This window comes from Homo sapiens, chromosome 1 (assembly GCF_000001405.40).
Source record: "Homo sapiens chromosome 1, GRCh38.p14 Primary Assembly".
Lineage (NCBI taxonomy): Eukaryota > Metazoa > Chordata > Mammalia > Primates > Hominidae > Homo > Homo sapiens.
The window spans coordinates 145,719,499-145,747,145 of record NC_000001.11 but is presented as its reverse complement, the minus strand read 5'-3'; the positions used below and the strand labels follow the sequence as shown (position 1 = coordinate 145,747,145).

Sequence of the window (27,647 nt, the reverse complement as noted above, 5' to 3'; positions counted from 1 at the left end):
TGCATGCTCTATGAGGATGCATTCTCTATTGTTTTTCTGTTCCATGTCATAATTTTTGATGTGACAATTCTCAGGGTTATTTAAGTGTACAATACTCCCAGCTTCTCAGGCCAGGATCTTCACATAGACTAATATTTTTCTGTTTCAGCATGACACATGTCCTGTATGTAGGAAGAGCTTAAATGGTGAGGACTCTACTCGGCAAAGCCAGAGCACTGAGGCCTCTGCAAGCAACAGATTTAGCAATGACAGTCAGCTACATGACCGATGGACTTTCTGAAGCTAAAGACCACACCTGAATCAGGGCTGTGGTAATCATCTTACCATAGCTGTAAATTGTATCAAAACAAAAAATTAGTAGATGGATTTAGGAATATGTAAGAAACTCAACACATAATATAAATGCAATGAATGTTTTTCTTCTTTAAATTTAAAGTTAGTATCTACAGATGGAATTGTATCTACAACCAAATGCCTCTTATCCCTGAATTCAGAGTGATAATTTTATAAGTGTGAAACTTAATTATGTAGGGCTCCCCCCGTCTGAATAGAATTAATTCCTTAAAGTCTAGTTAGGGTCCTGCTGTCTGTCATGTTGCCTTGTAACGGATGTTTCCACCTCCTTCTCCAACCTCTACCCCACCATTAGTGTATTTTACTATAAAAACAGTGGAACCACAGCCCTAAAGTCCTGCTGATATAAAGTCCTTTTGTCTTAATTGTATTTAAAAAAAAAAAAAACTACTCTTGATCACATTAGCTATGAGGCGAGGTCAAATTCAGGTATCTAAGACTAATGATTTTGTTTTGTCTTGATCCCCAGAGAGCAAATCAAAGAAAAATTACAGCAAGAAGAGAAAAGTGGTTTATCATTGTGTGCTTTGGTTTTCTTATTTTAATTTTTTTTGTTTTTTTTTTTTGAGATGGAGTCTCGCTCTGTCGCCTAGGCTGAAGTGCAGTGGCACGATCTTGGCTCATTGCAAACTCTGCCTCCTGAGTTCAAGCGATTCTCCTACCTCAGCCTCCGGAGTAGCTGGGACCACAGGCATTTGTTACCATGCCCAGCTAATTTTTTGTATATTTAGTAGAGATGGGGTTTCACCGTGTTAGCCAGGATGGTCTCAATCTCCTGACCTTGTGCTCCGCCTGCCTCAGCCTCCCAAAGTGCTGGGATTACAGGCGTGAGCCACTGCGCCTGGCCTCTTATTTTAATTTTTAAAGACTACTTCAGTTGATGCAGTTTCCCAAGAAACCTACATAACATATATTGGGAGCCTTATGTTGATAGGAATCTGATTCCCATTCCTTTTTGGGAATGAGTTGGGCAGCATACAGGCACAGAAAGACAGATGTTTGAGACCTTTGCTTCTGAGATTTTAAAAAATGATTACCGCTGGGCGCGGTGGCTCACGCCTGTAATCCCAGCACTTTGGGAGGCCGAGGCAGGCGGATCACAAGGTCAAGAGATCAAGACCAGCCTGGCCAACAAGGTAAAACCTTGTCTCTACTAAAAATATAAAATTAGCTGGGCGTGGTGGTGCATGCCTGTAATCCCAGCTACTCATGAGGCTGAGGTGGGAGAATCGCTTGAACCCAGGAGGTGGAGGTTGCGGTGAGCCGGATCATACCAATGCACTCCAGTCTGGGCAACAAGAGCGAAACTCCATCTCAAAAAAAAAAAAAAAATCCCCAACTCACTGCTTTTTTTGTTTGTTTCTGTCGCCTAGGCTGGAGTGCAGTGGCACGATCTCAGCTCACCACAGCCTCGACCTCCCAGGCTCAAGTGATCCTCCCACCTCAGCCTACCAAGTGGCTGGGACTACAGGCGTGTGCCACCATGCCTGGGTAATTTTTGTATTTTTGTAGAGATAGGGTTTTGCCGTGTTGCCCAGGCTGGTCTCAAACTCCTGGGCTCAAGTGATCTGCCTGCCTCAACCTCTCAAAGTGCTCAACTCATTGTTTACTGTCTTTTTTCCTAGTAATCTTAAAATAATTTGCCTCACAGAAATAGAGACAGTAAGTGTCTGCAGCCAGTTCACTGTTTTTGGTAATTCATTGGTCTTCAGGAGTTAAGATTTTACATTGTCACATTTTAATTTTTAAGCCTATTTTTCATCTCTGAAACTTTCCTTTTCTCCTTGGTTCTGGCTATACTTGGACTCAAACTGATCAGTGTGATCATGTCCAAAACAGCTTGGCCTGGAAGAGGTAGGCCTTATTTTTTCAGCCTAGTAGTGTCCCATGCACATGCTCTTTGTAGCATTCAAGTGTTTAACATTGGATAAATTAAGAAGGTCAAGAATGTTGTTGAAACTTCAAGGTCTCAAAAGGAAATGATGGGGACATAGAACAACTGTTGGTGTACCAAAAAAAGGTACAGAGGGGCACCATTTGTATTGTCACACAACAATGATCAGAATGATCAGTTTAGAATGATCAGAACAAAAACACCACTCTTTAATGGGTCTTTTTCTTGGCTAGAAGTCTTTCCTCAGTTTTTGTTGACTATCATACGCTGATTTGTGGGTGACGGAAGGGGGCTAGAGATAACGTTTCTCTGTACTTTGGTAAAGGATGAAGGAGTCAGAGAGGGAACAGAAAAAGTGAGAGAGTGGCCTGCTGAAATAATAGCCTGCCTCTAAAAGTTGTGACCAGAAAGTATGATTCATTTGGGCCCAGAGGGAATAAAATATGTTTTTTCATATACCTCCCATATTACACCTCTGTAGTGATTGTTTATTTGGGGAATGAGATCTACTTACTGTGCGTTGCCCCTGAAATGTAGCTTGAGAATACACACTGGTTTTGAATTGGGGAGGAGGATGGAAGGAAATTAGAGGTGTATTATGAATATTTGGCCACTACTTAGATGGAGGAAGGCTATGTTGAACTTGGGACACATTGCAGTTTTCAAGTACACAATATCAGTTGTCTCAGAAAAATCATGACAGCCTGGACATATTTGCTTGTCAGTGTCTGGAGATGCCAGGACAGGCAGTTGTAGTTTTACGTACAGATAGAGAACCAATGCCTAGAGAACTAGAAAGGATCTGAGTACCTTTAAAAAGGGTGGAAACAAAGTACTGGATAGGGGTCTGCCTTTTTATACACAGTATAGCAAACAGCATCAGACAAAGTTACATGAAGTTTTCTTCACTTTTTTTGCTCTGGTGGATAGAGGATGTGAGACTCATTTTACTGTTTCCCAGACCTGTCCCACTTAATGGATCTGTTGTGTTTCTTCTTATAATGGCAGGCACCTCAGATGTCCAGGTTAATTTATGTTGAGGAGTTAGGATTCTTCAGGGATTTATTATTATTATTATTATTATTTATTTATTTATTTATTTATTTATTTATTTTTTGAGATGGAGGCTTGCTCTGTCGCCTAGGCTGGAGTGCAGTGGTGCAATCTCAGCTCACTGCAACCTCCACCTCCTGGGTTCCAGCGATTCTTCTGCCTTAGCCTCCCAAGCAGCTGGGATTACAGGCACCTGCCACCATGCCCAGCTAATTTTTTATATGTTTAGTAGAGACAAGGTTTTACCTTGTTGGCCAGGCTGGTCTTGAACTCTAGACCTCAGGTGATCTGCCAGTCGTGGCCTCCCAAAGTGCTGGGATTACAGACGGGAGCCACCATGCCCAGCCTGAGATTTATTATAAGGAATTGGTTCACACAATAATGGAGTTTGAGAAATCCCAAGATCTGCAGTGGGCCAGCTAGAGATCCAGGAGAGCTGATGGTGTAGTTCCAGTCTGAAGGCCAGCTTGGATACCCTAGAAGAGCTGATGTTTCTGTTCCAGTTCAGAGGCAGGAAAAGACTGAGGTCTTAGTTCAAGCAGTCAGGCAGGAGGACTTCTCCCTTACTTGTTCTATTCAGACCTTCAACTGATTGGATGAGGGCCACTTACATTAGGGAGGGCCATGTGCTGTATTCAGTCTACTGACTGAAATGTTAGTCTCTTCCAAAAACACCTTCACAGACACACCCAGAATACTGTATGACCAAATATCTGGGCATCATGTGGCCTAGTCAAGTTGACACATAAGATTAACCATCACAATGAGGAAAAACAGAAATGATACATGTATACAGAGTGCTCCTCATCCCAATTAAGTTTCACCAAGTTAATAATGTGTCTCTATGAGAAGTGGTTCACCATGTTGGTCAGGCTGTTTTCAAACTCCTGACCTCAAGTGACCACCCGCCTCGGCCTCCCAAAGTGCTGGGATTACAGGTGTGAGCTAGCACTCCCAGCCGACAGGTGCTTCTTAAATGTTTTCTTTGAGCAGGAATTGGTCCAGGAATTGGTTCTCAAGTTAGAAGGAAAATTTGAGGGGAAGAACTTGTTTTTTCTCCAATCAGTCTCTGATTAAATAGTTATTAGGAAAAACTCCTTGCTTATGTCTTTGTATTGCACATTTTTATATATGTATATATGTGTAAATAGAGATATTTATATATTCACAGACAAACACGTGTATGCACATTTCACAATGGAGGAAGAAGGGATATGGTGTGCACTGAGGTAAAGTGAGCAGGGATACAGAAGAGAGCTGGAGCCTCACAGTCTGATTCTCTCATTGTACATAACCTTTAGGGTCTTTGTTTCCCTGAGTTCTCTGGTATGGGGCACTGTTGGCTTGGGCTGGTACCCTGTTATTCTCTGTGATGAAGGGATTCACTGGAGGTAAAAACGTAATCATTTCCAAAGGTTGAGAATAAATGACTTTGAGGAAAGGGTGTTCATTATCCGTTGCTTCTATATTATAATCAGTTGAACTACAATACGGTTATCTATTGATTTTTTTTAATTTTTCTGACAAATTATTGACACCAAATTGAATAATTCATGACCTGCATGCTTCAGCTTCTTTCTCCCTGGTTTCCAGGTGCTATTCCCTCAAGAAATGCAAATTAAATATGTCGGTCTTAATAAATCAGGAGGGAAGCATAGTCTGTGTCTGTTTTAAATGACAACAACAACAAAACAGCTTTGGGGTTTAAGAAGTGGAAGACACATTTTTATTTTTTTGAGACACAATCTCACTCTTTCGCCCAGGCTGGAGTGCAGTGGCGTGATCTCAGGTCACTGCAACCTCCCGCTCCTGGGTTCAAGCGATTCTCTTGCCTCAGCCTCCCAAGTAGCTGGGATTACAGGCACGTGCCACCATGCCCAGCTAATTTTTGTATTTTTAGTAGAGATGGGGTTTTGCCATGTTGCCCAGGCTGGTCTCGAACTCCTGATGTCAAGTGATCACCGACCTCAGCATCCCAAAGTGCTGGGATTACAGGCATTAGCCACCACGCCCAGGTGAGAAGACAGATTTTAAGAGAAGGAGCAGGGCTGGTATCTGAATAGGTATTTGGATGTTAGGGGAAAACCCTTTTTGGCCTCTGTGGTAGAGCGATCGGAAGGTAAAAGTGCTGTTTACAAGAATAATCCATTGGAGATCTGGGGATTGGGGACGACTTATAGGATAGAGTCCTCTTGTTGAGAATTTCCCGAATGAATCTCATGTAGGTTCTGTCACAGTAAGATGGAGGAAAACTTTGATGGGGTAAGTATCACAAGTGGCTGTCCTATAGGGGGAAATCCTAGCCTGCAGTAATGTCAGTGTCTCAGTATTCAGCCAGCGAGCCACTGAGCTGCTCCAGGGGTTTAAAATAGAATGCATAGAATACAATGTATACAGCTGGTGATGCTTTCCAGGATCAAAATAGAGCCCTTGTCTGATCCCATTGACATTGTAAGGTTTCGATCTCTCATACCTGCCACAGACAAGTACATTGTAGGCATTCAACTTTTAAGGTTTTATACATGCAAACTTTATGTTTTCCTGCCACACTACACTTGGTGTCCACAGAAGTGTAGTTTGTATGTTGCCTCTTCTTCCTCTTTCAACCAGAACACTTAGATCTGTGATCATAGGATGTAAGCCTGTGATTCTTTACTTTTTCTAATAAGAAATACAATTTTCAAGATCCAAAAATTATTAGATTCTTGGCTGGGCATTGTGGCTCATGCCTGTAATCTCAGCATTTTGGAAGGCTGAGGCAGGCAGATCACTTGAGGTCAGGAGTTTGAGACCAGCCTGGGCAGCACAATAAAACACCATGTCTACTAAAAATACAAAAATTAGCCAGGTGTGGTGGCATGCACCTGTAGTCCCAGCTACTTGGGAGGCTGAGGAGGGAGAATCGTTTGAACCAAGGAGGCAGAGGTTGTAGTGAGCCAAGATTGTGCCACTGCACTCCAGGGCAACAGAGAGAGACCCTGTCTCAAAACAAAAACCCCCAAATTATTAGATTCCCTTCCAACAACTTGATAGCCATATTATTAGTATTTTTGATTAAAGAATACATAACAAAAAGCTGCTATGATTTCAGTAATGCTTTTAAGTTAATTTATTAGTCACACCAGAATCTACATCCAATTGAAATATATACAAATATTTGAAAGATATTTATTCAGGCTGAAGATTATGGTATATAGATTCCTTCTGATAACCTCATGGCCTCACAGGTTCAAAACCCGTGTTTGTGAATCACTCATACAGATTGGGGCTAAGATGCGTGTCCAGAAAACCACCTATTATGCATGAAAATTTGTAGGCTTATTTGAAGGCAATTGTATCAACACATTTTGAAAGCCAAGACACAAGTATTTTAAGTTTCTGTTTAACCAAGTCTCGAGATAAGCAGAGTAAATAAACTCTTTAGAAGCAAGACTCAGTTGGTATGTACAAAGTGGGATTGCTTTGTATATATTCCGCTTAGTTTGAGTCAGAGCTAGTAATCTGATGCTCTTAAATGTCTTCATAAACTTGGGCAGTGATGTTTCCTTTCTGTGATTATGTGTCACAGATTTTTATATGTGGACTATAATTAGTATAGTACAATGGCTGAAACTTTTCCTATAGTTGGATATATCTTCTGAGACTTCCAGTGATTGTATAATGTTGAGTAGCTCCAGAAGATTATTTGAATAGTAAAAACAAAAGACATCTCTACCTATGTGAGTTTATTATTTAGTTAGAAACACAGAACTAACTATTTAAAACAGGTAGAGAAAGATTAAGATGAATGTGATGTAGTGGAGAAAGCTTTGGAGACTTTGGAGTCAGAACTCAAATGGCTCTAGGTCCCAAATCCAGACTCTCATTTTGATTCTCAGAACAATTCTGTGGAAAGAGAAGATACAATAGGCAATATCCCTTTTTACAGATAGGTAAACAGAAATAGCATCTCAAAACCTCATTTGCACTGGGTGAGGTGGCTCACGCCTGTAATCCCAGCACTTTGGGAGGCTGAGGCGGGTGGATCACTTGAGGTCAGGAGTTTGAGACCAGCCTGGCCAACATGGTGAAACCCCGTCTCTACCAAAAACACAAAAATTAGCCAGGCATGGTGGTGCATGCCTGTAATCCCAGCTACTTGGGAGACTGAGGCAGGAGAATTGCTTGAACCCGGGAGGTGGAGGTTGCAGTGAGCTGAGATCATGCCACTGCACTCCAGCCTGGGCAACAGAGTGAGACTCCGTCTCAAAAAAAAAAAAAAAAAATTCATTTGCCCAATGACAAATAGCTGGTATGTTGCAGAGCCAGAATTTGAATCCAGGTCTTTTTGCCTCCATGGCTAGTCCTTTTATCTCCATGGGATACAGTCTAAAATCCTTAGTTTGAGGTTCAAGACTATCACTAATAAGAGTCTTACTCATCTACTTCAGCCATATCTCTTTCCGTTCCCACAAACCTTAGCTCCCACATTTGGCAGGTCCTTGCCAAGGAGCACAGGTAAAGTGTCTCTTTCCTTTTAATGGCTCACCATGGAGCTGTAGCTAAATTTCTGTGCTCTTACCCCTTTATTCATGTAGTTCCTCCTATCAGGAATATCCTGCCCACTCTCTGCTTAACTATGACAAGAGGTCATCTGTCCAAAGAGAAAGAAGAGAGTTTGTGGATTTAGGAGAAAAGAAAAGACTCCAAATACTGCTATGGGCATTTATTTAAAAAGAGAAATGACCAAAGAGGTTAACAAGTATTTAGATGAAGCTGGGCAGTTGTAGTCTGTGGTGCTCTTGGTCTGCACAAATCTTCCTCTTCCTCCAGCAGTGCTGTATGGATGTTGTTGAATGTTGAGGTCTGTCTGCATTTTCTCATTTTCATGCCAAGTCAATCACTGGATCTGGCTGTCTTCCTTTCTGTCCTACCTATCTTTGCTTGTTTTCTCTCTCTTTCCTTTGCAGTGTTAAATAAAAATTTATTCCCCCAAAATTTGGTGTTCTCATTTTGTTTGACTTATTTTACTATGTTGATGAAGAGGGAGGAAAAGTTTTTCTGGGGTACAAAAACGCATATATTTATCCGATATTTGAGGACTATACTACCCACTTTGGTGAAAGCTGTTCTGTTTATTTACTGGAGCTTAGGAGGGAAGAAGGCAAGTTTGCCCTGATGGTGAGGAGCAAAGTCAAGGATTACACTGATTTGCCCCAGCTTATATTTCCACAGATTCTTGGTATATTTAGCATCTCTTCCCCTGTGCCCTGTTGCATTCTTCTCTGTGCCTATTGTAATGAGAAAGATACTAAGCCATAGTCAGACTCATCTTGCTGTAGCTGTTTTAAAAGTTTCTTTTGGCACAAGGCTTACAAAGCTGTGGAAAGAAAGTTTGTATTACTGCCTTATAACTTAGAATAGCAACAAAATACCTGATATAATGAAGTCTCACCTGTCCTGAGATGCGTGCGTGATAGGCCCTCATGACTGTAAAGGGATTGGAAAAGGAAAGTGGGAACTATTTTATGTATTGCATCTTATTACTAAATTAGGGTTGTAATCTTGAGCAAATCTGATTCTGGTGGGAGTGGGAAGGGGGCTAGCCTTTGATCGCTCCTTGCTGGAAGGAACAATCAAAGAAGCAATAGATGCCACTCAAAAAGTTGAAGGTAGGTTTTCCACGTATAGCTCTGAATTGTTGGCACAGTGGTAAGACAAGGATATTCACTGAAACTAGTTCATGAGCTGAGAGAGGCACAGAGGTCCAGGAAACTCCCTCCTCCTTTTCCCCACATGTAAGCATGATAACTTGACCTATGTGGTGTTTCTGGACCTGAAAAAGCATGTGTACTATTCTACTGAATACTACCTCTTTCAATAATTCTACTAAGCCTTGAGTTGGGGAAGAAGGATAAAGAAAAGAAAGCTTCTAAGTAGTGTATATTTTCTCGTTTAATCAAATATTGAGCTTTGGTTTTTTCCTTTGGTTAACTTTAAAGCTACTTGAATTGAATATAGGAGAAAACAAAAAATTGGATTCAAAAGCTCATTCTCTTCACCTGAGTGGAAAAGGAAAAAAAGGCCAGAGATGATTTTTTTTTTTTTTTTTTTGCTCTAGGATGACTTGGGAATCAAAGATAGTAACTAGTAGTAGGTTGTATGGCTAGACTCAATTTCCCCTTTATAATTTTTATTCTAAAATAAAATTTATTTTACTGGTTACAGTGGCCTAACCAAGGGAATTTAAAGTCAACAAAAAATTATGTCTAAAGGTCAGACTGTTTCATATTCATGTTTCCTCCTGAAAACTGGCATAGGCTTAAATTTGGAAGATCCTTACCAAGGATTACAGATAAGGTCTCTGTTTTCTTTTTGAAATCTCTGTTTTCTTTTGATGACTTGCAAATAAGGGACTGGAATAGGGAATGTTTAGGTGGTCCTGTTTCTGGAAAGGGGAGGAGTCAATCTCAGAATGAATGGGGTGGTGAAGGATGTAAGAGGTGCTTTGCATATAGTAGATCATTACTGAGTGTAAGGTTTTAGAGTGAGAAGGATCTGTATTAATTGCTGTGACGGGCAACAATTAACTCTTTTTTTTTTTTTTTTTCCTTTGAGAAAGTGTCTCACCCTGTCACCCAGGCTGGAGTACAGTGGCATGATCATGGCTCACTGCAACCTCAACCAGCCTGGGCTCAGGTGATCCTCATGCCTTAGCTTGGGACTACAGTTGTGTGCCACCATGCCTAATTTTTGTATTTTTTTGTATAGTTGGGGTTTTGCCATGTTGCCCAGACTGGCCTCAAACTCCTAGGCTCAAAGGATCTGCCTGCCTTGGCCTCCCAAAGTGCTGGGATTACAGGCGTGAGCCACCGCACCAGGCCCTATTTAACTTCCTTGTGTCTGTTTCCTGATGAGTAACCAGGGGATGTTTGCTTGCAAGGGTTGTATAAGGTTAGAATCATCATGTGTAAAGCATCTGATTCATCATACAGGTTTTTTAACAAATTTATTAAGAGCCTGCCATATGTGTGGGACTTTTCGTTGGGGTAAAGAAGACAAAGTCCTTACATATATATAGAGCTTACATTCTGATGCCATTCAAAACAGTGGTAGTTATTGATTTGAGGAATGCCTAAATAAAATGGAGTTAAGAATGCCAAGGCCAGGCAAAAACCTGAATCAGTTGCTTGTTATGCAAAAACGTTATGACAAATTATTGGAAGTTTCACTTTTTGTTATCTAATAGGGAAAACGCTAATCTATATTGGTAAATGGTTTTCAGAGGACTCAGCTACATGTGTTTAATATACTCAATCTGGCCATCAGCCTTTGCTGAGGAGCCGCATTGTTCAAAACCCATCTCCAAACCAAGTCTGTCTCTTGCCTTTTCTTCCTCTAATAGCTGAAAATCTGTTGCTTCAACTTGTAGCCCTCTGTTCATGCAGTGAGTAGAGGTAGTTGTACTAACTTGCCTCTCTCACAGGCCTTCATTCCTAATGAGTCTTACCTCCTACCCATTGAAAAGTCTGATTTATCTGTCTTCCTCCTTAGTGCCTTTGGATCAGTGAAACTGGTTTGAACTTTCCTGTGGATAGCCAGGGCTTGAGTAACATTTTTCTCTCCCCCTGGACATCCTTTCCAACCTTCTCCTCCTGGAGAATAACCAAGGTGGCAGAAATATAATAGCACCCTCATTGCTTGGGGTGCTTACGGCTCTTTTGGACATACCTTGAAGGGCCACAAGGCTGGTGACCAGCATTACCCAGACCTTTTCTTGTAGGAAGCCTGAACTGAGAGTGCCTTCATTATGGCTGAACTCAAGGTGTTGTCTTTGTTTCAATCCCGTCACTGTGTAGTTCCCTGTCTCTGGTTCAAAAGAGAATCATGGATCAGGGGAGGGTTTCAGAAATCATCAGTATCTCCTTTTGCATCATCTCATAACATCTCTTTTATGATCTCCAAGGATTCCTCCCTCTGTAATTCGTTGCCCAAATAAGTATTTTTAACATTGTGGGTAATGATGATGTACTTAGGCAGCCATAAATAAGTATAGAATCTCCTGTGTGTCAGACACTAGGGATGCAGATAGATCTTAAAGTAATTCTAAAGTTTTGCCACAGAGATAGCTGAAACAGCTTAGTCGCCTTGGACTTGGGTATCCCCAAATAGCCCCATTTTCTAGAGTGGTTCAAGCAATCTAGCATAAGTTAAAATCTTGCCCTTTTGGAATAGATCTGGGTTTTTTTTGTTTGTTTGTTTGTTTTGTTTTTGTTTTTTTGAGACAGGGTCTTGCTCTGTCATCCAGGCTAGAGTACAGTGGCATGATCATGGGTCACTGCAGCCTCATGCCCCGAGCCCAATCGATCCTCCCACCTCAGCTTCCCTAGTAGCTGGGACTACAGGCATGTGCCACCACGCCCAGCCAATTTTTGTATTTTTTGTAGAGACAGGTTTTCACTGTGTTGCCCAGGCTGGTCTCGAACTCCTGGGTTCAAGTGATGCACCTGCCTTGGCCTCCCTAAGTGCTGGGGTTACAGGCATGAGACACTGCACCTGGACTAGATCTGGATTTTTATCCATCATTTACTGTTGGATGAACATAAATTATCTTCAAGCTTGAGTTATCACAGGACAATAGCTCAAAAGACCATGGAGATTAAATAATATAATATCACTTAGCACAATGCCTGGCCCACAGTAAGCACTCAGTAAATGGCAGACATTGTTTTTTATTTTATTTTATTATTTCTTTTTTTGAGACAGAGTCTGGCTCTGTCGCCCAGGCTCGAGTGCAGTGGCGCAATCTCGGCTCACTGCAACCTCTGCTTCCCGGGTTCAAGTGATTCTCCTGCCTCAGCCTCCCAAGTAGCTGGGATTACAGGTGCGTGCTACCACACTCGGCTATTTTTTGTATTTTTAGTAGAGACAGGGTTTCACCATGTTGGCCAGGCTTGTCTCGAACTCCTGATCTCAAATGATCTGCCAGCCTCAGCCTCCTGAAGTGCTGGGATTACAGGCGTGAGCCACCACCCACCCTGACATTGTTTATTACCTGTCTCTTCTTAACTAGTTTTACCTTCCAAAATGCACCTAATTTCCACACTTGGGGAACCATCTAGATGTGCTGACTCTAATACTTAAATATGCTGAGAAGATGAGAAAAGCATTCTTCCTTAGGGAGAATCTTCACAACTAAAACAATATATTAGGAGAACAGGATTTAGGTTATAAGGAGCAAGGACTGTGTTATACCTCATTCTGTTCTCCAAGGCATAGCGCTGGGCCTGGGATGCACAATACATATTTGTTAGATGAATGAAAGAGGAGTATCCACTAGTGCAGTTTAACTGAAGCAATGTATTCACATAAATAGAATGAAATGCTATAGAGTCTCTAGTGCCAGGCTAATGTAATTTAGACTTTATTCCATAGACAGTGAGAAGCCATTAAAACTTTGAGTGATGTGGCATGTACAAATTAGCATTTTGGAAAGACAAGCTGGTGGTAGTATGTAGAATGGATTGGAGGCAGAAACAGTATTTAGAGTTGCTGGACCATTAGGCAACAGCTCAGTGCTAGGCCCTGTGGTAGGTGTGGGAGATACAAAGGTGACTAGGGCACAGTTGCTGAACTCAAGGGACTCACTAGTTAGGAGACTATAGGAATATGTTAAGTGTGAGGTGATGAAGACCTGAAAAACACCTTTGGAAGGAAAGGAATAACAAAGTACTGCTATTCTTCCCCACTAAGTACTGCTGTGCGGAAGAACAGCAGTACTTAGTAACTCTCTGAATTGGGGGTTAAGAAAAAAGGAGGAACCAAAGTTGACTCCGTCATGAACAGAAATAGGGTCTCAGGAGGATAGCTTTGATACTGAGTTTGAGGAAATGGTGGGACATCCAGGAGCTAGGAGTACAGTTTTTAGTTTAAACGTTTAATTAAAACTTAGGAAAGGTGTTCAAGCTGGAGAAGTTGATTTGCTGGTCAGTTGCAGGGAGATGCTGGTTTAAATCGTGGGTAGATGAGAACTAGGGAGAGAGAGTAAAGAGAAAAGGTTGAAGGGGTGAGAAGTGAGTCTTGGGGAATACTCATGTTTGAGAGGTGGGAGGAGGAAATAGAGAAGACAAAAGAACAGCCAGGTGGGTAGAACAGCCAGGGGAGTACAGTCACAGAAGCCACTGGAGATGACAGTTTGATGAAGGAGGGAATAGTCAGAAGTGCTGAATGCTATAGCTAGGTCAGACAGGAAGACACCAGGAAGCAAGGAACAAAGTCAGTCAAACTAAACAAGTTGAAAATTTGAATTAACTAGGAACCATAGGAGGTGATTAGAAACATTTGTTCAAAGGCTCTGGGCCAGTTTTTCATGGGGGGAGGGTGGTGAGTGGGTAATTTATACTTGTTTTTCTTAAAAAGTAAGATAGGCCAGGCACGGTGGCTCACACCTGTAATCCCAGCACTTTGGCTAGGCTGAGGCGGATAGATCACCTGAGGTCAGGAGTTTGAGACCAGCCTGGCCGTCATGGCAAAACCCCGTCTCAACTAAAAATACAAAAAAAATTAGTTGGATGGGTGGTGGCGTGTGCCTGTAGTCCCAGCTATTTGGGCGGCTGAGGCAGGAGAATCACTTGAACCTTGGAGGTGGAGGTTGCAGTGAGCAGAGATCACGCCACTGCTCTCCAGCCCGGACCACAGAGTGAGAGTCTGTCTCAAAAAATCAAAGAAAAAGAAAAAAAAAAGTAAGATAGTTGTAAGTTCATGGAGAAGTAAGATAGTTGTAAAAGTTCATAGAGAATAATAGCAGTGCCCTTTTGTCCTCCTAGGCTTATTGTCTGAGACAACCACTGTCAACTCTTCGAGATGTCTTATTATATTCCTAAATAATATGCTCATATTGCTGCTTCCTAGTGATAAAATTTAGACATTTTCTATTGGCTTTCTGCTACAGTAGATGAAGATGTGCTAGAATATAGTAGATGAGGATTATACTTTCACCCATTTTCCTTCTCTGCATTCTTCTAAAAATAATTGTACCACAAATTTTATTTAAATTAGTCATGTTTACATAATTTGGATTCTGTGTTATTTTTTGCAAAATCAAGTTGTGCGCTATGTTTCTTTTGTAAAATTTAGTTTTTTCTAGAGCCTGATTTTATTTTTTTACTGGCAGAGTTTTCCATATCCATTTCTTTAATCTTTTTATTGGGTCTTTAATGGGCCTTTAGAAAGATGATATGTCGATTCCATTTTTACCTCCTAGAGATCTCCCTTCCAGAGTCGTCTTTCTCTTGCTCTCTTCTGGACTAACTGCCCTTTTTTAATTCTTGAATTTCCTTTTTTTTTTCTTTTCCACTAGAGATGGTGTCTCCCTGTGTTGCCCAGGCTTATCTCTAACTCCTGGGCTCAAGTGATCCTCCCACCTTGGCCTCCAAAAGTGCTGGCATGAGCCACTGTGTCCAGCCTAGAACTTCCTTGTTAGACTCCTTGTTTCCTGTATGTCATTTTATCCCCTTTATGGATTCACTTTCTTGTTTTACTGAAGCACATCCTCTGGTAGCTTCTTTGAAAAGATCACATGGAAGGCAAATTTTTTTGAGTCATTGCATCTCATGATAGTGTCTTTTTTCTTTCCTTACATTTGGTTTATAGTTTGGCTGAATATATAATTCTAGGTAAATTTTTTTTTTCCCACAGAATTTTGAAGGCTTGCTCTATTGTCTAGGAATATAGTTACACAGAGAGACACTTTCTGTTGGGCACAATTTGACTTAAGGAAGCCACTTAAAGCTGGGGCTGGAGTGGCCATATTTAGGATATGCCAAAGTAGTAATGGAGCAGGGGGAGCATGCATAGAGTGAAAGACAGATGCAGAAGCCAGAGGCCTTGCTGCCTCACAGTTTGAAACGGTAACTGTTTTGCGTCCTGTCCCCTTTCTAGTTTCTGATTCCAGGAGCTAGAACTCATGAGGGCCAGCTGTACTTTTTTATTTTTTCCTCCTTTAATCTATGGTACTTTGAATTGGTTTCTGTTTCCTCCAACTAAATGCTCCTTAAGACAGACACCCATATTATCTCAAACCTAATCTCGTTGTCTGCCTGAATTTAGAAATATAGCCACATTTCTGGGAGAGTTCTGAATTGGGAATCAGGAGGCCTAATTTCTTTCTTTTCTTTTCTTGTTTTTTATTTTTTTGAGACACAGTTTCGCTCTAGTTGCCCAAGATAGAGTGCAATGGCACAATCTCGGCTCACTGCAACCTCCGCCTCCCAGGTTCAAGCGATTCTCTTGCCTTAGCCTCCTGAGTAGCTGGGATTACAGGCATGCGCCACCACACCCGGCTAATTTTGTATTTTTAGTAGAGACAGGGTTTCTCCATGTTGGCTAGGCTGATCTTTAACTCCTGACCTCGGGTGATCTGCCTACCTCAGCCTCCCAAAATGCTGGGATTACAGGCATGAGCCACCATGCCTGGCCAGGAAGCCTAATTTCTATCTGTTTTTACTTTCACCAGTGAGTAGCACTGGACAAGTCTCTTCAACCCCTGTGTCACCATCTCCCTGTCAGTAAAAATGCAATGGCCACCCCAAGTAAGAGTTCTAAAATTAAAGACAAAATGAGATTATGTTTGTGTGTGCGCTTTGAAGAAAGGCAGCATCTGCCAATGGGGATGTTGGAAAAGGATTGAGGAAGAAGGAAACTGCCTTTCCAGGACCTGAACTATCTGGTTACATCTCCACTGTCAACCCTGCTCACTGTCCCACCTGGTGGCATTAGGAGTATTTGAGCACTCACCTGTGAATAGAATGGAGAAAAAATGGCCCTGAAGGCGGATACCTGACTTCTGGCTTCTGGCACAACACTGGTAGGTCCCACTGTGCAACGGTGTGACTTGGCTTATGGTGAACATCAACTGAGATGATATTTCACCAACACCATCTATCCCAGGATCCCTTTTAAGTCTCAGCTGTTTTAAACTGGTCTCAGGAGAACAGTCTCCAGACCTGTCCTTGCACAAAAACACTACAAACCCCTCAGCCTCTTCTTTCTTATGCCATACAGTACAGATTAAGTTTAGTCGCGTTCCTTCCTGGGAAGCTGAGCTGGTGATGTTAATGCATCCTGGAATGGAAAGGGAAGAATTACCCAGAGGTCAGGTAGCATTCTGTGAATTTCACCGTAACTGCTCCTTATCACTAGAAGTCTTCAAGGAAGGACTGAAGCAGAACCTGGCAGTAGTGCTGGCAGACAGGAAATACAAATTCCAGCTCTATCGATGGCTGTGTGACTGTAAGCAAGTTACCTAACTCCTTGGGCAGTAGTTTATTCATCTGGAAAATGAAAATTAAGGGACTAAATAATATGCTCAAAGCATCCATTAATTCATAGGTTTATTTGTTCCTCCACTTAACAAATACGTTTAGGTATTCACTCTGCCAAGCCCTGCTGGGGCTATGAGGACTAGGACGTGAGCCCTACTGTCAGAACTTTTTTTTCCCCTAACCATTAGATGACCGGGGATTTTTAATTTAAAAAATTTTTTTTTAAAACAAGGTCTTGCTGTGTCACCCAGGCTGGAGGGCAGTGGCACAATCGTAACTCACTGCACCTTTGAACTCCTGGGCTCAAGCAATCCTCCTGCTTCCGCCTTCCGAATAGCTAACACTACAGGTATGCACCACTATGCCTGGCTAATTTTTTATTTTGTAGAGACAGATTCTCACTATGTTGTCCAGGCTAGTCTTGAACTCTAGGCATCAAGCAACCCTCCTGCCTCTGCCTCCCAAACTGCTGGGATTACAGGCATGAACCACTGTGCCTGGCCACTCTCAGAGTTTAAAGCCTAATGTAAAAACAAATTAGCAAAAAGTTACAATTTAATTCCACAGTTATTATAATTGAGGAATCTTAGAGATTCCTGAGTCTGAAGCATCAGGGAAACTTCACAGTGAAGTTAGTGCTGGAGCTGACTTGAAGGATGAGTAAAAGTTTTTCTAAGAAATATAGGATGAGAGAGACCACAGAAATACCAGAGATGATTAAAAACAGCCACTGTGTGGAAATGGAGTGAGAATGGACTGGAGAAACAGACTAATTATTGAGGGACCATTGATATCCAAAGACCATGACTCTGATGGTGCCAGTCTGCCCACTTGATTTTCCCTGTAAGTAATCTGTAACCTGGATACAGAAGTGGAGAAAATAGTTGGGTTAACCCAGGATGTTTTGGCTCGATGGGTGTCTCTGACCTAATTTTGCAATGCATTGGCCCTGCCAACTTTGTACTGCCCCTCACTCTCCTCAAACTTCACTTCCTTCTGTAGTTTATATTTTGTAGTCCATTATTATAATCTCTCCCTTATATCCACCCTCAGCTCCCTTAGCTTTACTCCTACTGTGATGGATCCTCGCAAAACCCCAACCTCGGTTAAATCCAGCTCTCTGCTGAAAACTCATCCGGCAGATGCTGAGGCTGCCAGCCCCCTCCCCCACTCCCTTGGCAGCTTGATCCGCTATGACTTGCTTTTCCTTTTAAGACTCCCCTTGGTATACATAGTAAACTAAATTCACTCTCATGAAAACGGTGAAGAGGCAGAGATGGAGGCTGCCCCCTGCATATTGAATGCCATTCTCCTACAAGAGTAAGAGATATGGGTCTTCCAAGACCCATATCTGAGGGAGACCTGCAATCCCAGCCATTGATTCACTCCAAAATGGTTTATATTTTATTTCTACTTTCCAGCTGGAACTTCTATAGGGTCTCTGTTAGAGTGCTTTTCTGTATATCAAATCCTCAGTATAGCCATAGAGGGCAGGTATTACTCTTCCCATTTTATAAATACACAAATTGAGGCACAGAGTGGTTAAACTAGCTGCTGAAGTTAATGAAGATTGCAGTATCTGGATCTCAAACCTGGATTTCATAAATTTATAGTATATAAGAGCCTAAAGGAATCTTAGGTTGAGGCGCAGATTGCCAGGCTCTTTGAAACATATAGCAGAGACAGAGTGTCTGATAGAGAGGCAATAGTATCAGTTCTAATGAAAAAGAAAAAGACAATATATTCTTTACCCTTTCCTTAATGTCAAGGAGAGTGAGTCAGCCGGGCGCCTGAGGATCACCTGAGGTCAGGCAGAGTTCGAGGCCAGCCTGACCAATATGGTGAAACCCCGTCTCTACTAAAAATACAAAAATTAGCCGGCGGTGGCGGCATAAGCCTGTAGTCCCAGCTACTCGGGAAGCTGAGCCAGCAGAATTGCTTGAACATGGGAGGCGGAGGTTGCAGTGAGCCGAGATCGCGCCACTGCACTCCAGCCTGGGTGACAGAGCGAGACTCCCTCAAAAAAAAAAAAAAAAAAAAAAGAGTCCTTTGTTTCCCCACTAGAGAAAATCACGGGATCCAGCCCTTCCCACAAGCCCAGGATCCTCCCCATGGCCGTCTCTGCTCTAGGGTCTATCCTCACCACCAGACTGGATGTCCACAATTGCCAGCAGGATGGCCAGGGCACAGCAGCCTCTGCCGGGTTCCAACAGCATCCTGCACGCTGTCAGCAGGCCCAGGAACTTGAAGCAAATGTTGGCTCTGCTGGTATCCTTGGCTTCAGTCTCCTAAAAGCACAGGGGGACCCACTAGACAAAGCCTTCCAGGGTTCCAAGACCATTTCCCCATCCCAGGCTCTAGCTTTGATTGGCTAGAGTATGATGGAGGTAGAGGAGGGCTTGGGCATGAGAGTCCAGCTGGCTGGGAAGTGAGGCGGTAAACCAAGTGAGATACACTGGGAGCCGGGGAGGGAGGGGCATAGGGAGACACTAAAGGCTATTTTCTCATATATATTTTTTTAAGTTAAATTGGATTGCTGCGTCAAAGAATATGATGATTAAAACTTTTTTTCTACTATAATCAGATTGCTCTCCAAAAAGGCTGTTGATAATCAGATGTTCACCAAGAATGCTTGATAGTGTACATTTCCTCGTGCCCTTGCTAGCTCTGGGTATTATCTGTACTTTAACATTTTTGCCAATCTGATGGATGAAAAATTAGACCTGCTTTATGTTGCATTTCCATGATTAGTGAAGTTGAGGATCTTTTCATATGCTTATTGGTCATTAGTATTCCCTTGTCTGTGAATTGTGTGTTCATATTCTTCACATTTCTTAACTTTTAGGCACTTTCTCCGTATTAGAGATATTAACCCATCTGCCATTTTTTTAGGCAAATACTTTCTCCCAATTTGTTGTTTGTCTCTTCACTTTTTTTATGAGGCTTTTTTTTCACAAGGAAAGTTTACATTGTATGTAATTAAATACAACATATCTATCTTTTCCTTTAAGTTGTCTGGGTTTCCTGCATTGTTTAGGAAAGTTTCCCTCCAATTGAGGCTATAATTTTCTTTCAATATTTTTATTGTTTTACTTTTTATAGTTACATCTTCTAATCCTGGCTAAGAAAAATTACTCCTGTTTCAAAATAAACAAACTGAAGAAAAACAAACACTTGAATTTCATCAATAGGGAAAATGGTTTAATAAGTTTCAATTAATCTATGTGACAAAATATTATATATTATTAAAAGAATGAGATACTTCTATAAATATGGGCCTGGAGGGATGTTCATGATATAGCATTAGGTCAAAAAGGGCAAATTGCAATTATGTATATAAAATAAATACATTTTTATTTTAAAAAATCCTCTCTATGTGTGTATGTGTTTTAAAAATATATTTAAGGTTTTGTAGTTTATAACTTTTGAAGTGGTAATTACATTCACAGCATTTAAAATTCAAAAGGGGAAAACAAGAATTTTTCTATAAATTTATTTTTCTGATTTTTATAATCAGCTTGTCTAGTCTTGCCCTTCCTACTGTGTGTACCATCAAGAAAAAGTCCTATTGGTATTTTAAAATTGGGATATGTTCAATTTATATTTTAACTTAGGGAGAACTGAATTTGTTGTGACATTGATTCTTTTGATCCGAGAATGTGATATTCATTTTTCAAATATGTGTGTCTCAGGTATGTATAGAAGTTTTCTTCATAAAGTCCTCGTCCATTTCTTAGCTAAGTTTGTTTCTTGAGTAATTCATATTTTTTCACTATTGAAAATGTCATCTTTTACCCATTATATCTTTTTTTTAATATACTTTAAGTTCTAGGGTACATGTGCACAATGTGCAGGTTTGTTACATAGTTGTACATGTTTCATGTTGGTTTGCTGCACCCATCAACTTGTCATTTACATTAGGTATTTCTCCTAATGCTATCCCTCCCCCGGGCCCCCACCCGTGGAACGTCATCGGTGTGTGATGTTCCCCACCCTGGGTTCATGTGTTCTCATTGTTCAACTCCTACTTATGAGCGAGAACATGCAGTGTTTGGTTTCCTGTCCTTGTGACAGTTTGCTTAGAATGATGGTTTCCAGCTTCATCTATGTCCCTGCAAAGGACATGAACTCATCCTTTTTTATGGCTGCATAGTATTCCATGGTGTATATGTGCCACATTTTCTTAATCCAGTCTATCATTGATGGACATTTGGGTTGGTTCCCAGGCTTTGCTATTGTGAATAGTACCACAATAAACATACTTGTGCATCTTTATCGTAGAATGATTTATAATCCTTTGGGTATATGCCCAGTAATGAGATTGCTGGGTCAAATGGTATTTCTAGTTCTAGATCCTTGAGGAATCCCCACACTGTCTTCCACAGTGGTTGAACTAATTTACACTCCCATCAACAGTGTAAAAGCATTCCTATTTCTCCACATCTTCTCCAGCATCTGTTGTTTCCACTCGTTGTATCTTTTAACTTATTTTTTCAGTCTCTTTATATCATTCATTATATCTTTTAATTTTTCATTATTGTTCATATATGAAAGGCTATTTGTTTTACTAGATATTAATTTCATACCCAGCTCCCCTCCCTTAATTCTATCATTTTTCAGTTGATTCTCTTGGATTTTCCAGTTATGCAATCATATTATGTGTACATAATGATAATTACTTCCTTTTCTATTTTATATCTCTGATTTCTTTCTTCTAATTGTGTTGGTTAATATCTCCAGAAAAATATTAAATAATAATGGTAATAATGAATCTCTGTCTTTTTTCTAAGTTTAATGGGGGATGCTTAAATGTTTCCTTATTAAGTATTATAGTAGCTTTGAGAATGAGATGTATTTTATTATGTTAAGGAATATACATTTATTTCTATTTTATTAAGAGTTTTAAAATGTCAAGGATGGATGTGAATGTTTTATTAATTGCCTTTAAATATCAACTAAAATGATATTATTTTTCTTTAAGATATATTAAGATGGCGATCTACATTAATAGATTTCCTAAAATTGATACATCTTTGCAGTCCCAGACAAACAAACAAAAACTGAAGCCATTTGGTCATAGTATGTTGTTATTTTCTTTTGAGACAGAGTCTCACTCTGTCGCCCAGGCTGGAGTGCAGTGGCACGATCTTGGCTTACTGCAACTTCCACCTCCTGGGTTCAAGCGATTCTCCTGCCTCAGCCTGCCGAGTATCTGGGATTACAGGCGCCTGCCGAGTATCTGGGATTACAGGCGCCTGCCACTGCGCTCGGCTAATTTTTGTATTTTTAGTAGAGACGGGGTTTCACCATCTTGGCCAGGGTGATCTTGAACTCCTAACCTTGTGATCCACCCACCTTGGCCTCCCAAAGTGCTGGGATTACAGGCGTGAACCACCACGCCCGGCCTAGTATGTTATTCTTTTCATGTGCTGCTGTATTCTGTTTTATAATATTATATTTAAATTTTTAAAAATTGAAAGGCCCAGTTGCGGTGGCTCACGCCTGTAATCCCAAGCCTTTGGGAGGCCGAGGTGGGAGGATCACTTGAGCCCAGGAGTTTGAGACCAGCCTGGGCAGCAAAGTGAGACCATGTCTTTACAAAAAATACAAAAATTAGCCACGTGTGGTGGTGCGTACCTGAAGTCCCAGCTACTCAAGAGACTTAGGTGGGAGGAGCCCGGGAGTTCACGGATGTAGTGAGGTATGATCTTCACTGCACTCTGGCCTGGTTGACAGTGAGACCCTGTCTCAAGAAAACCAAAATCAAAAATTACACACACACACAAATTAACCAATCATACAAGATATTAAAAATATAATACACCATGACAAATGGAATAAGGTTTCATTTTTAGAAATTCTTGGATGATTTAATATTAGGAAATCTATTAATTAACATACTACTGGATAAAAAAGAAAGTCAATATTACCTTCTGATAACATCTTACATTAATTCCCACTAAAATCCTAAGTAAAATGGTAATGGATGAATACTATTCAATATAATGGAGAAATGTATATCTCAGATAAAATTGCAGCATCATATTTAATGGTAAAATATGGGATAATTTCTATTAATATTAGGAGCAAGGCAGAGATGCTTCCTATTATTTCTGTTATTTCACATTGTTCTGAAAGTGTTTGCCATTATATTTAGACAAGAAAATAAAGCAAAGGGTATAAATATTGGAAATCTTAAGGCAAATTTATTACTATTTATATGTGATATAACTTACATCTAGAAAACCCAAGAAACTTAATTGAGAATTATTAGAAACAATAAAAGAGTATCTGAATAGGCAGTTCACAAAAGACGAAATGCAATAAAAAGTTTTTCAGTTTTACAAGTATTCAGGGAAGTACAAATTAAAAATTCAGAGTTCAGAATTTCAGAATTACCACCTGTTAAGTGAACAAAAATTTAAAAGATAAATCAAATTTTGGTAAGGGTAAGAAGAAATATGTGCAATCATTCACTCTAGGTAGAACTATACATTGTTACGGAGCTTTGGGGGAATACTCATTATATATTAACATTTCAAATGCACATACCCTGTCCCTTTGGCTATAGCTTACAGAAATAAAAGCATGAGTGTGCTAGTATAGATGTACAAGGATATTCACTGCAGCATTTTTTATAATACCAAAAAAATAGAAACAGGTGAAGGCCAGGTGTGGTGGCTCACACCTGTAATCCCAGCACTTTGGGAGGCGTGCGGATCACCTGAGGTCAGGAGTTCGAGACCAGCCTGGCCCACATGGTGAAACCCTGGCTCTACTAAAAATGCAAAAATTAGCTGGGTGTTGTAGCAGGTGCCTGTGATCCCACCTACTCAGGAGGCTGAGGCAGGATAATTGCTTGAACCTGGGAGGCAGAGATTGCAGTGAGCCAAGATCACGCCACTGCACTCCAGCCTGGGCAACAGAGCAAAACTTTGTCGCCTTCCTGCCCCCATAAAAAAAGGAAACAGGTGAAGACCCACTGGTGAGAATGGTTGAATAAATTATTGCAGATCCACAGAATAGAATGTTATGTAATTATAGTTTGTATAAAACAATAAACTAAATTAGTGTATATACATACAATTTAATAAGGTACTTATTAATACATAAGATTAAAAATTTTCCTGGATATAATTATTAGTCAGAAAATATGGTAGAAGGAAAAGTTCCATTCATTATAGCAACCAAAAAACCCATCAAATGTCCAGAAAAATGTAACAACATTCCGAATAGGACCTATAGGATACAAACTATACAGTACTATTAAGGAACATAAAAGAAAATCTAAGTAGAGACGATTGTTAAATTCTTCTGTACTTATCTATACATTTGTCACAATCCTAATAAAACATCCCAGCAGCAGCTCATGGTATGGCCCCAATGTCCTTTCCTAGCCTTGACCTCTCCTTGTTCCTTCTCCTGTGTTATCATACCTTCATGCTACACCAGAATGTCCTGGTGACTCTTGAAACATGGAATATTAAGTGACAAAGAGGATAAATGAATAAAATGACAAATCATTTTATTCAAAGAGGAAGACAAAGAAGGATTGCAATTATTCATTCAGCCCAGAATTATGGTTAAAAAGCGTAGACTCTAGAGCCAGAGTGTTTGTGTTCAAATCCTGGTCCTAAAACTTAATAGTGGCGCCGGGCGCGGTGTCTCACGCCTGTAATCCCAGCACTTTGGGAGGCCGAGGTGGGCAGATCACGAGGTCAGGAGATCGAGACCATCCTGGCTAACACGGTGAAACCCCATCTCTACTAAAAAAAATACAAAAAATTAGCCGGGCGTGGTGGCGGGCGCCTGTAGTCCCAGCTACTCGGGAGGCTGAGGCAGGAGAATGGCGTGAGCCCGAGAGGCGGAGCTTGCAGTGAGCTGAGATCGCGCTACTGCACTCCAGCCTGGGCGACAGAGCAAGATTCTGTCTCGAAAAAACAAAAATAAAAACAAAAAAAACTTAATAGTTGCATGACTCGGTCAAGTTTCTTAGGCTCCTGGGCCAGGCGCTATGCTCAGCCTTTAATAAATAGACATATTTCAGAAACACGGAGCATCTATAATGTGTCAGACACCATGGGGCACAGAGAGATCACTAACACAGCAGAGGCGGACGTTTTAGTGGTTAAATGGTCTCTAGAGTCAGACCAGGATGTTTCAGATCTGGCTTTGAAACTTAACTATCTGTGTAATATTGGGCAAGTTTCTTAATCTCTTAATGACCTATAAAATGGTGACAAAATATTCTCTTCCTTGGGTTGTGAGGGTCAAATGAGGTCACCTATGTAAATTACTTAGCACAGTGCCTGGCAGAGAGTAAGGGCTCAATAAATGATAGCTATGATTAGTTTTATGCTTTCTTATATTGGAATCAATGGACAGTGTTCCAGGCACATCTACCTGCAAGACTGTGTTTAGTCCTTATAAAACACTAAGCCATTATTATTTTCTAAAATTTATTATTTGTACGAAGCATATAGAGGCTTGGAGGGGACTTGTGACTTGCTTAAAATCACAGCTCCTAAGTTGGGGAGCAGGACTCTAACCCAAGTTATGAGAGTCTTTCTCTTGGAGTCCCCTTTGTCCCTCTCCTCACAGCCGCTCATCCATTCACGAACAGCTGTTAACACAAGAACGACTGTACTAAGTAATAAGGTCATAAAGTGTCAAGGGGCAGCACAGGAGAAATTCTGGATGAGGGATGTGGAAAGGCTGCAAGATGGCAATGAAGTTAGGCCTTCATAGTTGTTTGTGGGCTCTCGGGAGCTGGTGACTAAAGAATACGGTGGGTGAATTAAGGTGGGGAATGGGCTGAGGAGATCTGGCTTCCAGTCCTGGCTCCGCACTAGGTAGCTGTGGAATGTTGACAAGGTCGTGTCCCTTCTCTAGGCGTGTTTCCTAAGGGACTGGTGCAGCGGGATGGGAGGGGCGCAGGGTAGGGACCGCTTCCAAGGAGAGAGAGGACAGGCGGGAGGGGCTGATGCAGCTGGTCACTCCGCTGGAGTGGCCAGACTTCGCGGTGCCTAGGGCCGAGTTGAAGAAGAGCATGTAAGTCTGTTGTGGGCCCCTCACCAGCGCTGGGGGGCAGCGAGGTCACTGGGCAAGGATGCTCTGGGAAGTGACCTTGGTGCCCGGGAGGGGAGCACCCTGTTGTGATGCAGGCGGGGCAGCGCGGAGCCGGCGGCGCTGATTTCGCACTCTGGCCGCTAGAGGGCGCTGCCTTTCAGCCAAAGCCGAGTGACCCCCTACCTGCCCCGCGTTGGCCCGCGTCACTCCAGCCATGGGCCATCCAGCGAGCATGGGGGCTAGCCAGGGAAAGTCTAAACTAGGAGGGGAGATGAGGGGGTGCAAAGTTGGGCCTGGTGGGTCCTGGGGACGCAGCATGTACTAGAGCGGCACCTGGCCCTCAACAGAGGGGAGAGCGGGTGGTCGTGAGAAGTCTGGGAATTTTCCGGGCCCACTACACGCCAGGGGCGGGTCTCCCCTCTTAAAACGTTGTGAGCCCCAGCGCGGGCAGGGGGGAGGGTGCCCGTGGAGTTGGCATCCTCATCTTTGATGGTCCCCGGGGCTCCTGAGCTGCGCTGGTGGCCCCAGGGCTCGGTGCCTCTCTCAGGCGACAGCTCACAGACGGCGGGAAACTCTTCCCTCCCGCACCTTCGGAGGCGGTCCTGGAGTCTTGTGGACTCCTGGGTTCAAATCCAAGCTTTGTGTGACCAGCACATTGCTGGACCTCACTCAGCCTCACATTCCTCTTGTGTTTAAAACTACCTCATAGGAATGTGGTGACGGTTAGATGACACATAAAGCTTTGCCAGAGGTTTTCTGGGGAGGGTGGGGACAAGAGGGCAAGGAAGAGTCTCCATTTCCTCTGCCACCGGAGCCCGGATCTAACCTCTCAGAGGAGCTGGAAGGTCAGCTCTGAGCTCCACAAATACCTCTGTATACAGATCTCCCACGACACTGAAAAAGATGCCCAGAAAGATCTCATTTGCAGCTGTGAAGGGGCTTCTTTTTCAATCTCCACAACCCCAACTGCCTTAAAGTAGAACCAGACTTGTTAGTAGACAGAGGTTTGGGCTGGGGGGCCCTTGAAGCTCTTGTCTGAGATCTCAGGCTTCCTGCTCAACACACCAAAGCAGGTGCCTGACATAAAGGCGCCATGGACCTCTTTGGTGGTCTGGGAAGGCATATGGAGTCCCTTCTCAGAACAACATTTAAAAATTAATAAGATACATGGGATAATAAAGGGAACAAATTATGACAAGACAGTTGTCAAAACATTAGAAGAATGTGTGGTAGAGCAGTACACATGCTTCTTTAGATTTGACATCAGCCTAATAACTGTTGTAATTCTGTAGTAGTGCTGAGCGTTAAGGACATTTGGAGAAATCTATAAAAACTGTAATGAGATTTGAAAATATTTGTGTTTTCTATTGATGGCAAATTCTATTGTGGTTCATTGTCTACATTCATAACTGAAGCAAGTGCTGACTTTCAATTAAAGATTAGTGAAAATAAAGATGTATTTTTCCCCCCAATTCACAAATCCCATGAATAAATCTATTCACGGACCTCCAAGAGGTCCATGACGTGAACCACCTAGGACATGAACTTCCCCCGGAGGTGCCTCACAGGGCCAGCTCCAAGCCCCGTGGCACCTCCCGGCTTGTCTCAGGCCAATCCTTGAAGAGCTCCAGCAGATCTAAACTTTGGTAACTTTCCTCTGGTAATTTGAGGAATTCCTCCATTTGAGGAATGTCAGAATGGGGCCAGGATTCCTGAATGCCCATGGAAGAAAAGCGAGCATGCTGGTCTGGCGGGCAGAAATAACCTTCTCCCCAGGCTCCAGAGGGCAGAGGACATTTCCCTCCAAAAGGCAAGTTTCTCAGGGACCTCATGAGAAGCCTGTCCTCACCTGAGCAGTTCTGTCAACCATCCCATCCCTTCACCTGGACCCCAGGTCCCCAGCAGGCCTTTTTACCTCGAGACAGAAGTTCTTCTTTCTTGTTCTCAGACTGGGGGCTCACGTTGAAATGGCTCTC

The 27,647-nt window shown here is 42.0% G+C and overlaps 2 protein-coding genes across 9 annotated transcripts in view; one reads left to right on the top strand and one right to left on the bottom strand.

The window, feature by feature from the left end:
* RNF115 (ring finger protein 115) overlaps positions 1–8,278 on the top strand; it is an 85,228-nt gene extending 76,950 nt beyond the window's left edge. For all 5 annotated transcript variants that reach the window (XM_047418027.1, NM_014455.4, XM_047418024.1 and 2 more), the window contains one exon: positions 149–8,278. In XM_047418027.1, the coding sequence (XP_047273983.1) occupies positions 149–280 (132 nt within the window). In that variant the 3' untranslated portion in view covers positions 281–8,278. The remainder of the gene's footprint in view (positions 1–148) is intronic.
* Positions 7,858–27,647, bottom strand: CD160 (CD160 molecule). 4 transcript variants are annotated; one of them, NM_007053.4, is made up of 6 exons: positions 27,587–27,647; positions 22,240–22,345; positions 18,746–18,890; positions 16,076–16,402; positions 11,012–11,149; positions 7,858–8,660 (listed from the first exon to the last, which is right to left on the bottom strand). In NM_007053.4, exons 3-6 carry the CDS (start codon positions 18,816–18,818, stop codon positions 8,653–8,655), a joined length of 546 nt encoding a protein of 181 aa, NP_008984.1. In that variant the 5' UTR covers positions 18,819–18,890; positions 22,240–22,345; positions 27,587–27,647; the 3' UTR covers positions 7,858–8,652. The 4 variants fall into 4 exon arrangements, 3 of the variants coding, with proteins under 3 accessions (NP_008984.1, XP_011507406.1, XP_005272986.1); XM_011509104.3 differs by having other exon boundaries at positions 7,992–11,149; NR_103845.2 differs by lacking the exons at positions 16,076–16,402; positions 18,746–18,890.

Coding starts and splice junctions, on each gene's coding strand:
- CD160 (XM_011509104.3), bottom strand. CDS start 18,818: ATGCTGTTGGAACCCGGCAGAGGCTGCTGTGCCCTGGCCATCCTGCTG. Junction 16,403..18,745: donor TGTGGACATCCAGTCTGGTG/GTGAGGATAGAC, acceptor TTTCCATTCCAG/GATGCATTAACATCACCAGC. Junction 11,150..16,075: donor TTTCTCCATTCTATTCACAG/GTGAGTGCTCAA, acceptor CTTTTGAACCAG/AGACAGGGAACTACACAGTG.